Source organism: Homo sapiens, chromosome 6 (genome assembly GCF_000001405.40).
Source record: "Homo sapiens chromosome 6, GRCh38.p14 Primary Assembly".
Lineage (NCBI taxonomy): Eukaryota > Metazoa > Chordata > Mammalia > Primates > Hominidae > Homo > Homo sapiens.
The window spans coordinates 118,715,786-118,728,920 of record NC_000006.12 but is presented as its reverse complement, the minus strand read 5'-3'; the positions used below and the strand labels follow the sequence as shown (position 1 = coordinate 118,728,920).

General features: G+C 43.2%; 1 annotated feature.

Annotated features, from left to right (window-relative positions):
* Nucleotides 8,878-8,927: an enhancer, noted in NCBI's record as "active region_25013". NCBI's record gives its function as "activates an Ori minimal core promoter by ATAC-STARR-seq in GM12878 lymphoblastoid cells {active_cell/tissue: GM12878}" and the evidence as "EXISTENCE:reporter gene assay evidence [ECO:0000049][PMID:35858748]".

Genomic DNA, 13,135 nt, shown 5'->3' with positions numbered 1-13,135 from the left:
TCAGAAAAGCATCAGAGGACAGAGAATGGAAAGCCTTGGAACCTCCATTAGGGCTTGAGATTTCGTTCTTGGGAGCTGTAAATGTACTGTTTGAGCAAAGGAGTGACATTATGTGACTTCTGTTTTTAAAAGACCATTCTGGCTGTTGTGTTGAGAATAGAACAAGGAGACAAATGTAGAGAAGCAAAGAGACTAGTTTGGAGGTTATCGCATAGTTCAGGTCAGATATTATGGCTGTTTGGACTAGGGTGGGAATGGTGGAGGTGCTGAAAAGTGTATTTTTCTAAAGTGTATTTCCAAAGTAGAGAGCTTGGATGTGCTCATGCATTGTGAACGAGAGAAAGAGAGAATTAAGGGTGAGGAATATAAAAGGAAAGGGAATTGGCATAGGAATTAGAAAATCACGTGCAGAGATCTGGAGGTTGGGTAGGAAGTGGGACTTGTACTTTCTTCACTCGTGAGCTTCGTAAGACCACCTCTTTGCATGATGGTAATTAATTTCATGTCAGCCTTCACCAGTCAGATTCTACAGAATGAACTCAGCCTTCAGTCTCTCCTCTATGTGATCTTTGCCACGTCTTCCGGTCTTTATTCTGAACAATTACTTTGCCCATTGATCCTTTTGAAGAGATGTTCAGTGTCAGCAGAAGATAGCGATATCTGAGTGGCGTACCTCAATTATCTTCTCTCAAAAGCAATCAGGGAAAGGGAAAGTGAGAACAGGGATATGGAATCAATGTTGAGATATGCATTGTAATTTGAGAAAGGATGAGAGGTTCCTCAAGGTCAGAAGGAAGGAGAAATATCAGGCCTGGGACTGTGAGAAAGAGTGAAAATAGAGCAGTTGTAGAGAAAGAGCGGAGGGTGAAAAGTGTCAATGACTGTTAAGTGAACCAGAGGCCAGGAGGGGTGGTGACAGCTCACGCCGGGGAAGAGCAAACACAAGGACTGACCTTGCTTCTCCTTCACTCTTAAGTGGTGCCATCTCTAGGTGTCCTGTAAATTGCTAGGATTAAGTAATCTTGAGGAAGTAGCCCCAGTAAAATTATCATGCCTTTCAATTGTAAATTAGATTTAGCCCAGTTGTTCTTATAGAAAAATATGGCAAATATTATTAAAATCTTTGTCCAAAGACACACAAATGACTTGATATAGAAAATCCTGGCCGGGCGCGGTGGTTCATGCCTATAATCTCAGCACTTTGGGAGGCTGAGGTGGGTGGATCAGGAGGTCAGGAGTTCAAGGCCAGCCTGGCCAAGATGGTGAAACCCTGTCTCTATTAAAAATACAAAAAATTAGCCAGGCGTGGTGGCAAGCGCCTGTAATCCCAGCTACTCGGGAGGCTGAGGCAGAGAATTGCTTGAACCCGGGAGGCGGAAGTTGCAGTGAGCCAAGATCGCGCCATTGCACTCCAGCCTGGGCAACAGAGCAACCCTCTGTCTCAAAAAAAAAAAAAAAAAATTCCTACTTCATTTCCAGGGGAATCACCATCCATGTCAGTTGCAAGCCATGTAGGGTCACTCAAATCCAAACTTGAAGGATGGCTTTTGTTTTTTATTTGCTAAAAGGATGTTTCCTTTTCTGAAAATGGAACAGAGACAGTCTTGACAAAGTTACCCTAAAGGTCGCAAAATATCCCAGACTATGCTGGGCATTGTAAAGCAAGATAAAGAAGGAAATATGTTTTAAAGCAGGGGTATGACAGATTAAAAGCATGTTTAAGCAAGAGGTGCCTTCTTAATCGTGCTCTCAAATGATGATTTGTATCTAATGATCAAATTTAACATAAAAATTAAGATGACTAGAATCTCAGTATTATTTACATATAAGTTTCTGTTTGAACTTCTGAGGGTACAAAGGAAGTATGATCAAAACGTACATATTTTATGAGTCCCCAAACCATGGCACATTTGAGTCTGTTTCTGTTTCTAACTGAGCATTTTTTTTTTTAAATCAGTCTGGGCATGGTGGCTCACACCCGTAGTCCTAGCACTTTGGGAAGCTGAGGCGAGTGGATCACTTGAGGTCAGGAGTTCAAAACCAGCCTGGTCAACATGGTAAAACCCCATCTCTACTAAAAATACAAGACAATTAGCTGAGTGTGGTGGCTGGCGCCTGTAATCTCAGCTACTTGGGAGGCTGAGGCAGGAGAATCGCTTGAAAATGGGAGGTGGAGGCTGCAGTGGGTGGAGATCGTGCCACTGCACTCCAGCCTGGGTGACAGAGTGAGACTCCATCTCAAAATAAATAAATAAATAAAATAAAGAACACAGAGACCAAAGTGGTTGCTTCAAATCTAGGTACACCTGATAATGACCTCATGTTATTGTCATCTTCGTCGTCATCATCATCACTACCATTGGTGGTGGCGATGGTCAGTAAACATTTATAAAGAATCTATAAGGTTTAAGGCATTGGACTGGAAAAAGGAAAACCAAAAGACTGTAAGATATAGTTACTTTTTCAACAGGATTTGGGATCCAGTTGGAGACACAAATTAACAGATAAATACAGCTTAAAAGTGTGTACTAGTCAGGAACAGCCAGGTTATGCTCCAGAAATAAATAATCACTACATTTCAGAGGATTGTAACAGAAAGGTTTTTTTGCACTCTTACTACATGACCATCTCAGGTTGGCACGGGGGTTTTAGTCATTGTAGTCACTCCGGAAGCCAAGCTAGTGGGGGCGCCCTACTGACACTAGCTTCTACAATCATCGAAGGAGGAAAAAAGGAAGGTCATGAGTCACCCAGTTGTTCTTACAGCTTCTTCCTAGATGTTACACTTGTTGCTTCTGCTCAGTTGTCATTATCTAAAGCAAGTGCATAACCACATCTAACGTCAAATGAGTGGGAAAGTGTGATTCTATCATATGCTGGGACAACACAAATGCCTGCCACAAAATGTACATGTTAAGAGTCAAAAGAATTATATAGATAGTCCACATACTGTAGAAGTTTAGAGGAGGGAGTAAGCCATAAGATCTGGGATATTCATTCATTTATTCACTCATTCATTTGTTCTTGTATTCAATGTACATATATAAAGCACCTCCTAGTGCTGGGTACTCTTCTATGTAGTGATCATAGAACCTTAAACAAAACCGACAAGAATCCCTGCCCTCCTGAAGATTACCTTCTAGTGGAGGAAGGCCTGAGCAAGGCCTTGAAAGATGAGTAGAATTTAAATAATTTTAGAAGGAAAAATATTCTAAGCCTAAGGAATAGAATTTGTTTCACGTGAAACCAGAAAGGCATCAGAAATAAAAGAATGGTAAAATCACTTCATGAATATAATATATTTGCTGGGGGGTGGGAAAATCACTTGAGGCCAGGAGTTTGAGACCAACCTGTTCAACAGAATGAGACTCTGTCTCTATAAAAAAAATTGTTTTAAGTAGCTGGGCATGATGGTGCTTGCCTGTAGTTCCAGCTACTTGGGAGGCTGAAGTGGGAGGATCCCTTGAGCCCAGAAGTTCTAGTGGCCACGACTGTGCCACTGCACTCCAGCCTGGGTGACAGAGCAAGACCAAATCTCTTAAAAAAAAAATATATATATATATATATATAAAATAAAAATAATTTATTTTACTCCTATGTAATTTAGGACCTTTTTTAAAAACCACAATCACATGGTTTTAAAAAATAAATTGTTTGCATAACATAGAATTAATATCGATGTTTTAAATTAATAGTTGAAATAAATTACATGAAATATTTTTAATCACTATGTTCTTACTAGATTATATAAAATGATTTAGGTATGTTTCACTAGTAATTTTTTGAATATGTCTTTATTTGTTAAAATGCTTTCTAGTGGAATAATGTAAGTAATTATTATTGTTAATAATTATGATCTCTGTCACATTTCTAAGGACTTAGTTATTTCCTTAAAAGCCCTCAGAAACCTTAAAATGTTTGTTTGTTTTTTGAATCCCTATGGAATATGTCATCACATTTGAAAATAAATTTTCTGGGATTCTGAAGGAAGGCACAACAAGACAAATTTGTTTCTACTTTCATATAAATAAAACCATGAAAATAAATAACATCAAATACTCATATTGAAACCTTTAGTTAATTTTAGCTATTGATAAGGCCTTTACTAAACTCTAGATATAGATAGATGGAAAAGTTTATTGTTAAAAATATTATCAAGCTACAAATTAGTGAGGACAAAGAGGTGATATCCTTTAACTTGAACAATACTCATCTATGGGAAGGGGGGATGACAAGATCTTCCCTGGCAGATATTTTCAGAGGATGGAAACTTACAGAAGATTTATGAAAAAACCAAAAAGATACCACCTCACACCCGTTAGGAAGGCTACTATTAAAAAATTAAACCCAGAAAATAACAACTGTTGAAGAGGATGTGGAGAAATTGGAACCCTTGTGCCACTGCTATGGAAAATGGCATGGCAGCTCCTCAAAAAGCTAAACATAGAACTACCGTATTACTTAGCAATCCCACTTCTGGCACATACTCAAAAGAACTGAAAGTAAAGATTAGAACAGATATTTGCATATGTGCAGACATAGCAGCATTAGTCACAATATCCAAAAGGTAGAAGCAACTCAAGCGTTCATATACAGAGGAATGGATAAACAAAATTTGAGAGATATATATACACACACATATTCATATTAGGCTGAATAATTTTTCTCTATATATCTCTATATAAAGATATATAAATATAAAAAATTATTCAGCCTTAAAAAGGAAGAAAATTCTGACATGCTACAATGTGGATAAACCTTAAGAACATTAAGTGAAATAAACCAATCACAAAACGGCAAATACTATATGATTCCATTTACATGAGGTACCTAGAGTAGTCAGATTCAGAGAGACAGAAAGTAGAACTGTGGTTACCAGGGGCTGGGGGAAGAAGAGAAATAGAGATTTATTCTTTAATAGATACAGAGTTTCAGTTTTCCAAGATAAAAAGAGTTCTAGAGATGGATGGTGGTGACATTGCACAACACTGTGACTATACGGACTTGACACCACTGAACTGTACCCTTAAAAATGGTTAAGATGGTAAATTTTATGTTTATTTTGTCACAATAAAAATAATTTAAAAATATATAGTGACAAAAACAACAGCAGAAATAAATTTAAAAATTTCCAGGCTTTGTAAAATCAGCAACCATTTCTTTTCTCTTCAGTTTGAGGCATCTCATTTTGTGTTTTGCTCAGAGAGTAATTCCCTAATGTGATGCTTACACAGTCTCCACCGCCCAAAACCTGATGGCTCTGCTTGCTGCTACATTCCAACAGTTCCTATCCTAATTAACATTTCACTCTAATAAGACGTTCTGGCTCCTAAAGTGTTGATCTATCAGTTGTTGACATATCTTGGGAGATGGCCAGGCATACGTACAGTGGGACAGGCAGCCTTGGAAGAGCTGGGGAAATGGGCATCAGGGAATAAATTCCAAGAGAATATGCAATCCTCAGAACAGGTAGCAGGGCAGGGCTAACCCACAAGTCAGCACGGAGCACTGTGTGGTTCATCGCAAGGTTGCAGGGTGTTCCAACACGGAATTCTGGTGGGTGTTGATATTCTGTGATACAACAAGGACTTAGGCCGGCAGAAGTTATTGGGGAAGGTTGTTTGCAGTTTATGGTTAGGATGGTCATCCCCAGAGGGGAGATTAGCAAGAGCAAGGCAAGGCCCTGAGCCTCAAGTGACTGGGAAATTTGGCAGGTTCAAAAGCAACATTCTTAGCACTCAGAATGCTGGTTATTAGATCTTTCCACAGAGGTAGTCTGGCTAGGCTGACTGAGCCTGACTTCTAGAATGTGGGGCTAAAGTTTACACCCCTCCTGCATAAAGTCAGGATTGGCTCAAGGTTGCATAGGGCATGGCTTAGGGCGGTGAGGACCATAGGCTCATCAACTAGTTAACCATGACTCACAATAAAATAGTCATCCATTCTAGAGACACTGAACTTCAGGCTTGTTTGTATTACAAGCAGCTTCTCAAATATAACAAGACTGTTAGTAGTAAAGAATCTAGCACCCTAAAGACCACAATGCATGTTAGAATTTATAAACCCACAACACAAAGGCTATTTTGAGGTGGAAGCACTTCGTGCTCTGGTCTGGAAGGAAAAATCTTGGCAAAACACCCATCTCTAATATTTCTTTGGTGTAATCAACAAACGTTGTGTGCTTCTACTTGGACTCCCAGAGAGAAGGAGCCTGAGTAGAGAGAAGCCATTGACCCTAGGGAGGAGACCCAAAATCAAAACAGTGCTCTGTTTATGAAATATGATGTAATTTTATATGGCATACACTTCGAGTCCAGAGGGGAGGGTGCGCAAAACCTTGGGCTTCACCACAGAGAGAGAGAGAATCTGAAACACCTGCAAAGAAAGAGCTTCTCCTTCAGGAACTTTGGGGAAGTATCTGCTGTGGATGCTGTTGTCAGAGCCTCTGAACTGGGTAGTGATGGCATTTTATTGAGGAGGAAACGAAGTCCAGGGAGCTGAAGTTCTTTTCTCAAGACCAATTGCTCAGGCAATGGCAGTCCTGATGGCCATTGAATAGGATCTGACCATGATGAGGTTAAAGGAGAATGAACCGACTCCGGTCCGTCTGGGTGGGGCTCACCACAGCACCCATCATTATGTCCCATGAAGCTGTCCTCACAACTGTCAGCTCTAGGAAACCTCTGCTCCAGAATGCAGTTGTGGGGTCCTTTAGATGAGCCAGCCTAGCCCTTGAGATACAGTGACTGCCTTTGTCCTTTAATTAAAAAAAATCAGGGCCCGGTACAGTGGCTCACGCCTGTTATACCAGCACTTTGGGAGGCCGAGGTGGGCAGATCACGAAGTCAGGAGATCGAGACCATCCTGGTTAACACGGTGAAACTCTGTCTCTACTAAAAATACAAAGAAATTAGCCGGGTGTGGTCGTGGGCGCCTGTAGTCCCAGCTACTTGGGAGGCTGAGGCAGGAGAATGGCATGAACTTGGGAGGCGGAGCTTGCAGTGAGCCGAGATCGTGCCACTGCACTCCAGCCTGGGCGACAGAGTGAGACTCCGTCTCAAAAACAAAAAACAAACAAAAAAACCATTAGGTAAAATTACAATATGCAGGTGGACAGTTTTGTGATGTTTGCTGCGTAGTAGGAAGCAGAACCACCCTACAGGAAACCCTACTTTCCTCAGCATCAGCTACCCACCCTGTTCTCCAGCGTTTGGTCAGCTGCCTGAGTCTTGGTAGTTCAGCAGGTTGGCAGGCTGCATAACTGTTCAGGAGGCCAGACCTCCGACCTCTCTTCCTTTCCCAGACTGAGGACAATACCACGAACCAGCCTTGGAAGATAAAAATCAGGTATTTTAAAGAAAAATGCCCCTGGACTCAGAAATGCTCTAATTCATAGTGCGTTGTAATTGACCAATAACACATCTGTGTTAGTTTCCTATTGTTGCTGAAACATACTGCCACAAACTTGGTGGCTTAAAACAACACAAATGTGAGGTGCGGTGGCTCATGCCAGTAATCCCAGTACTTTGGGAGGCTGAGGAGGGCAGATCACTTGAAGTCAGTAGCTCAAGACCAGCCTGGCCAACATGATGAAACCCCATCTCTACCAAAAATACAAAAATTAGCCAGGTGTGGTGGCATGCACCTGTAGTCAGTCCCAGCTCCTCGGGAGGCTGAGGCACAAGAATCACTTGAACCCGGGAGCAGAGGTTGCAGTGAGCCGAGATTGCACCACTGCATTCCAGCCTGGGCGACAAGGCGAGACTCCCTCAAAAACAAAACAAAACAAAACAAAACAACACAAAACAAAAAATGCAAATGTATTGCATTTATGGAGGTCAGGAGTCTGACATGAGTCTCACTGGGCTAAAGTCAAGGTAATGGCAGTCTTGCTGTCCATTCTGGAGGCCGTAGGGGAGAATCCATTTTCTCACTTTTTCCAGGTTCTAAAGGCTGCCCACGTTCTTTGGTTTGTGGCCCCTTCCATCTTCAAAGTCAGCAATGGCTGCTGGAGTTTCATATCACATCACTCTGACCTTGACTGTTCTGCCTCCCTCCTTCACTTATAAGGACCCTTGTGATTACATTGGTCCTAACTAGATAAACCAGGATATTCTTGCCATTACATGATCAGCTGACTAGCAATGCTAATTCTATCTTCGGCCTTAATTTCTTCTTGCCATTAACATCTCAAACATATTCACAGGTTTTGGGGACTATGGCATGGACATCTTTGGGGGCCATTATTCTGCTTACCACAAGTTCCTTCCTTAGAACTTTCTTTGCAGGGATTCGGGGAGAAGAGAGAGGTAGCTAGAAAATACCGGGGCATCATAATAAGAGGAACTAGGGAAGCTCAAAGCATCAGAGCAATCATCCCAACTTCCTGAACCCCAAGATGACTCCACAATTTGGAGACCTGTTGTCATTTTGTCCTTACCTCTCAGTTCACCCCAGGAGTATTTAAATTTCATCTGTTTGGTGGGGAGTGGATTCTCATTATATACAGATAATATGTGTTTCAGAAAACAAAGCAAAGGGCCTTTTCCCCAGGGCAGGTAGACAGTGCTCCTAAATTAGTGGTTTTCAAAGTACAAGTCACAATCCACTAATGACTCTAATGAGTCCTGAGATGAGTTTAGTGGGTGAGGGAGAGAGAAAGAGAGAGAGAGAGGAAGAAGAAGAAAGGAAGAAGAGGAGGAAAAGAAAGAAGAAAAGGAGGGAAAAAGGAAGGAAGGAGGGAAGGAAGGGAGAGAGGGAGGAAAAGAATAAAGAAAAAAGAAATAAAAGTATATGGAATAGAAAATATTGTGACACAGCCATCACATGTTTTGAGGCTAAATATTGTTGCAATTCTACCTACACCCGTGTGCATTGGCTTATGGTATAAGATGTATTTTTATAGTAAGACAGTCTGAGCCAGAGGGGCCCACAGGGCAACTGCAGATGTTTGCATGGAGGGGTTCCCCCCCTCAGAGGAGCTGCCCCTAATCTGTATTGAGAAAGATGAATCTGCTTATCTGTGTGGAAGCTTTCAAAAGGACTTGAGGGGACTGAAAAGGGGGAAAGGATGGGAATGTGGAGCAAGGAGATCAGATCAGAAGAGGAAGAGATGAGAGTTCAAAAGGAAAAAATTAAAGTGAAATGAAATTAAGAACATTAGTCATGTGAGACAAGAACAAAAATAGTAGACTCTGACAAGAAATCAGCCAGGAAGATAGGCCCAGACTCAAATGCTTTCTTGAGTGAAAGAACAAAGGGGAGAAAATCTAAACCCCAAACCAAAACAACCCTGCTTTCGTGTTCCTTCTTGCATCCACTGAGCCAAACCTCCAGCTGCCTCATGCCGCTGCAGGCACTTGTGGCAAAAGCACACATGAACCACGCTGGACATCAGAGGCTTGTGGGTGCCTAGGGGCCTTGTGACCTCCAGCTACCCTGAGCTGTGAAATCAGAGCTGAAGGAAGCAAATGTGACAAGACCTGGTCTGAGCGATGGGCGGGGAGGTGGACTGACAATGCTCAGCCCCCCTGGGAGGTTCATGTTTAATGCCTGCTGAACACCCCATGTCCTTGACCCAGACTCTCAACTCATCACGAACTCAGCTGCAACAACAATTGAGCACAGGGAATGAACAGGTGTCACGATCCTGTTATGAACAGGGAGAAACTGGGTCTCAGAGGAGTCCAGGAAATGGCCAGGATCAGTAAGAAAAAAAAGAAATAAAAGTACGTGGAATAGAAAATATCATGGCACAGCCATCACATGTTTTGAATCAGTAAGTGACAGGACTGTGACTCAAGATGCCCTCTGAACTCCATGCAGGGCTCTTTTCACCACAACAGGGACTTCCAAAGCATATGTTTGGAGGAGACTGACCCATGCTGATCACACAGAGAGACCGTACTTGCCATTTATGCCACAGGCTTCTATGCCCCCACCTCTCGCCAAGTCCCTACTCTAAGGTTTGGACGGTCACTCCGTAGAGGTGAGGTACGTAGGATACATTTGGTGGGAGGTGGGAAGCCCAAGAACAAGCCTTTCTACTCTCTCCCATCCAAGTACTAACCAGGTCCAACCCTGCAACCTTTCTTCTCTTTCAGGAATCCAAAACAGGCCTGGCGGGTAGAAGGCAGTCCTTTCTTCACAAGAAGCTTAGGGTCTCCTTTCTTCTCCTAAAACTTGAATGCTAAGAAAAAAATGCCAATTCACTCCCATACAAAAATTTATGAACACCTGGTTCTGTGTTATACTCACACCCATTTTGTGTTCCCTTGGCATAAATACAATGTCGCTTACCCACCTCTGCTCTTCTTCCTAGTTTCCTTTTCCATTTCTCTTTATGTCCTAAAGGACCCAGTTCTTTCTGGGAGCTCAGGCAATGCCCAGCAGATTCTAATTGAGAGTGACAAGGAGGTGACATAAAAGCTCTGGAAAGGACACTCACTTCCAAAGGATGTCTGGGGAACTGAAACGGGAACTTTGAGACCTGCTCACCTGCCAGATGAAATGTCCTTAAGAAGAGAATATCTAGAGAGGCAGGGGCTGGGGGAAAGGCACGCGGACATGTGGGGGCTGGGAGAAGCTGGGTGATATGAGGACTACTGTGACCTCTGTCACCTGTCATCTTCCTCCTGTGTGACAGACTGCTCACTAGGAAAGAGAGAGTGCTATCCTACTACCACTCAAGAGGAAACATTAGGTTACATGAAATTAGGCAGAAGTCTTTACTTTAGGACATAATGAGATTAATAAGCAAACTCCCAAAGTCAGGTGTGGGATCCAGATTTGGGGGTCCCGAAGCTGATTTTGGTGCCCTCTCCCTTTTTTAAAAAAATGAGATGAGGTCTTGCCATGTTGCCCAGGCTGGTCTTAAATTCCTGGGCTCAAATGATCCTCCCACCTCTGCCTCCCAAAGTGCTGGGATTGGTGGCCCTTTTAAGATAAGGAACACTAGGTGCAGGCGAGGTATATTCAGTGCTGTTCTACAGAAGAGGAAAGTGGGTTTCAGAGCGGTCCGGGAATATGTGATTCTGAGAACACAAATCATGAATATACCTTAGGTGTAAGTCTTTGAATGGGACCTATATGAATAAATCTTATACCTCCTCAGTTTATGGTCAGTCCACCTCTGTATACTATGTTTTCTGAACTTTTTTTTTTTTTTTTGAGACGGAGTCTCGCTCTGTCTCCCAGGCTGGAGTGCAGTGGCGCGATCTTGGCTCACTGCAAGCTCCGCCTCCCGGGTTCACGCCATTCTCCTGCCTCAGCCTCCTGAGTAGCTGGGACTACAGGCGCCTGCCACCACGCCTGGCTAATTTTTTGTATTTTATTTAGTAAAGACGGGGTTTCACTGTTAGCCAGGAAGGTCTCAATCTCCTGACCTCGTGATCCACCCGCCTCAGCCTCCCAAAGTGCTGGGATTTCAGGCGTGAGCCACCGCGCCCGGCCTCTGAACATTTTGTTTTAACCACTTTTTCTTTGTGGTGGGCGACAGTACCCAAGGGATCATGTTCAAAAAACACTTCTGGAACTCCGACCTAGTCTACACAGAAAGGCTGCAGGGTCTTTGGCGGCACGCCTGGCTTTGCTGGGCAGATGGCCGGGCACCTGCGATGGCTCCGCTTGAGTCCCTTTTTAGCACTGCTTTTCAAATCTCCTGAACGCAGTGGTATTTGGACTGGTACTTCTCTGACACATGAAGATAAAGAAAGAAACGTCACTTTCACCTGGATGTGGGCTTCAAGGGATTTATTTATTTATTTATTTATTTATTTATAGACAGTCTCATTCTGTCACCAGGCTGGAGTGCAGTGGCGTGATCTCGGCTCACTGCAATCTCTGCCTCCCGGGTTCAAGCGATTCTCCTGCCTCTGCCTCCCAAGTAGCTGGAATTACAGCTGCATGCCATCACACCCAGCTAATTTTTGTATTTTTAGTAGAGACGAGGTTTCACCATGTTGGCCAGGATGGTCTCGATCTCCTGACCTCATGATCCACCCGCCTCGGACTCCCAGGGTGATGGGATTACAGGATCGAGCCACTGCGCCCGGCTGATTTATTGTTTTTTGTTATTGTTGTTGTTTTCTGTTTTTCTTCAAGTCAGCTCTGTTGCCCAGGCTGGAGCGCAGTGGCACGATCTCGGCTCACTGCAATCTCCGCCTCCCGGGTTCAAGCTATTTTCCTGCCTCAGCCTCCCGAGTAGCTGGGACTACAAGCATGTGCCACCACACCCGGCTAATTTTTTTTTATTTTTAGTAGAGATGGGGTTTCACCGTGTAAGCCAGGATGGTCTCAATCTCCTGACCTTGTGATCCACCCACCTTGGCCTCCCAAAGTGCTGGGATTACAGGCGTGAGCCACCGCTCCCGGCTGGGTTTTTTTGCTATTGATTAATTCTGGACATGACTTAAAAAGCCGAACCATCCCAAAAACCAGACCAGGAAGTGGTACCTTTTAAAGAGAATGAGCTTGGCTGGGCGTGGTGGCTCACACCTGCAATCCCAGCACTTCGGGAGGCCAAGGTGAGAGGATCACCTGAGGTCGGGAGTTGGAGACCAGCCTGGCCAATATGGTGAAACCCCATCTCTACTAAAAATACAAAAATTAGCCGGGCGTAGTGGCAGGCACCTGTAATCCCAGCTACTCGGGAGGCTAAGGCAGGAGAATCACTTGAACCTGGGAGGCAGAGGTTGCAGTGAGCCGAGCTCACACCACTGTACTCCAGCCTGGGTGACAGAGTGAGACTCTGCTCCAAAATAAATAAAATAAAATAAAATAAAATAAAATAAAATAAAATAAAATAAAATAAAATAAAATGTAAAGTAAAGTAAAATAAAATAAAATAAAATAAATAACGAGAATGAGCCAACACCCTGAAAACCAAATCTCTGGGATGCATCTTGGCCAGAGCAGCAGAAAACTCTGCCGAAAACAACTTAGATGTTGTTCCTTTCATTTTGCTGGCTTTTAAAATACTGCTTATTTCTGATTCATGTCACACAAGTCAGTGTGTGACAATTGTCAAAGATGAACTGGGGCTGTGCCTTTAAGAGAACACTGCTAATGTGTCTCTGATTACATGAACAATACCACTCTCTGGCATGTTAACTCATCACAGTTGATTGTCAAATGC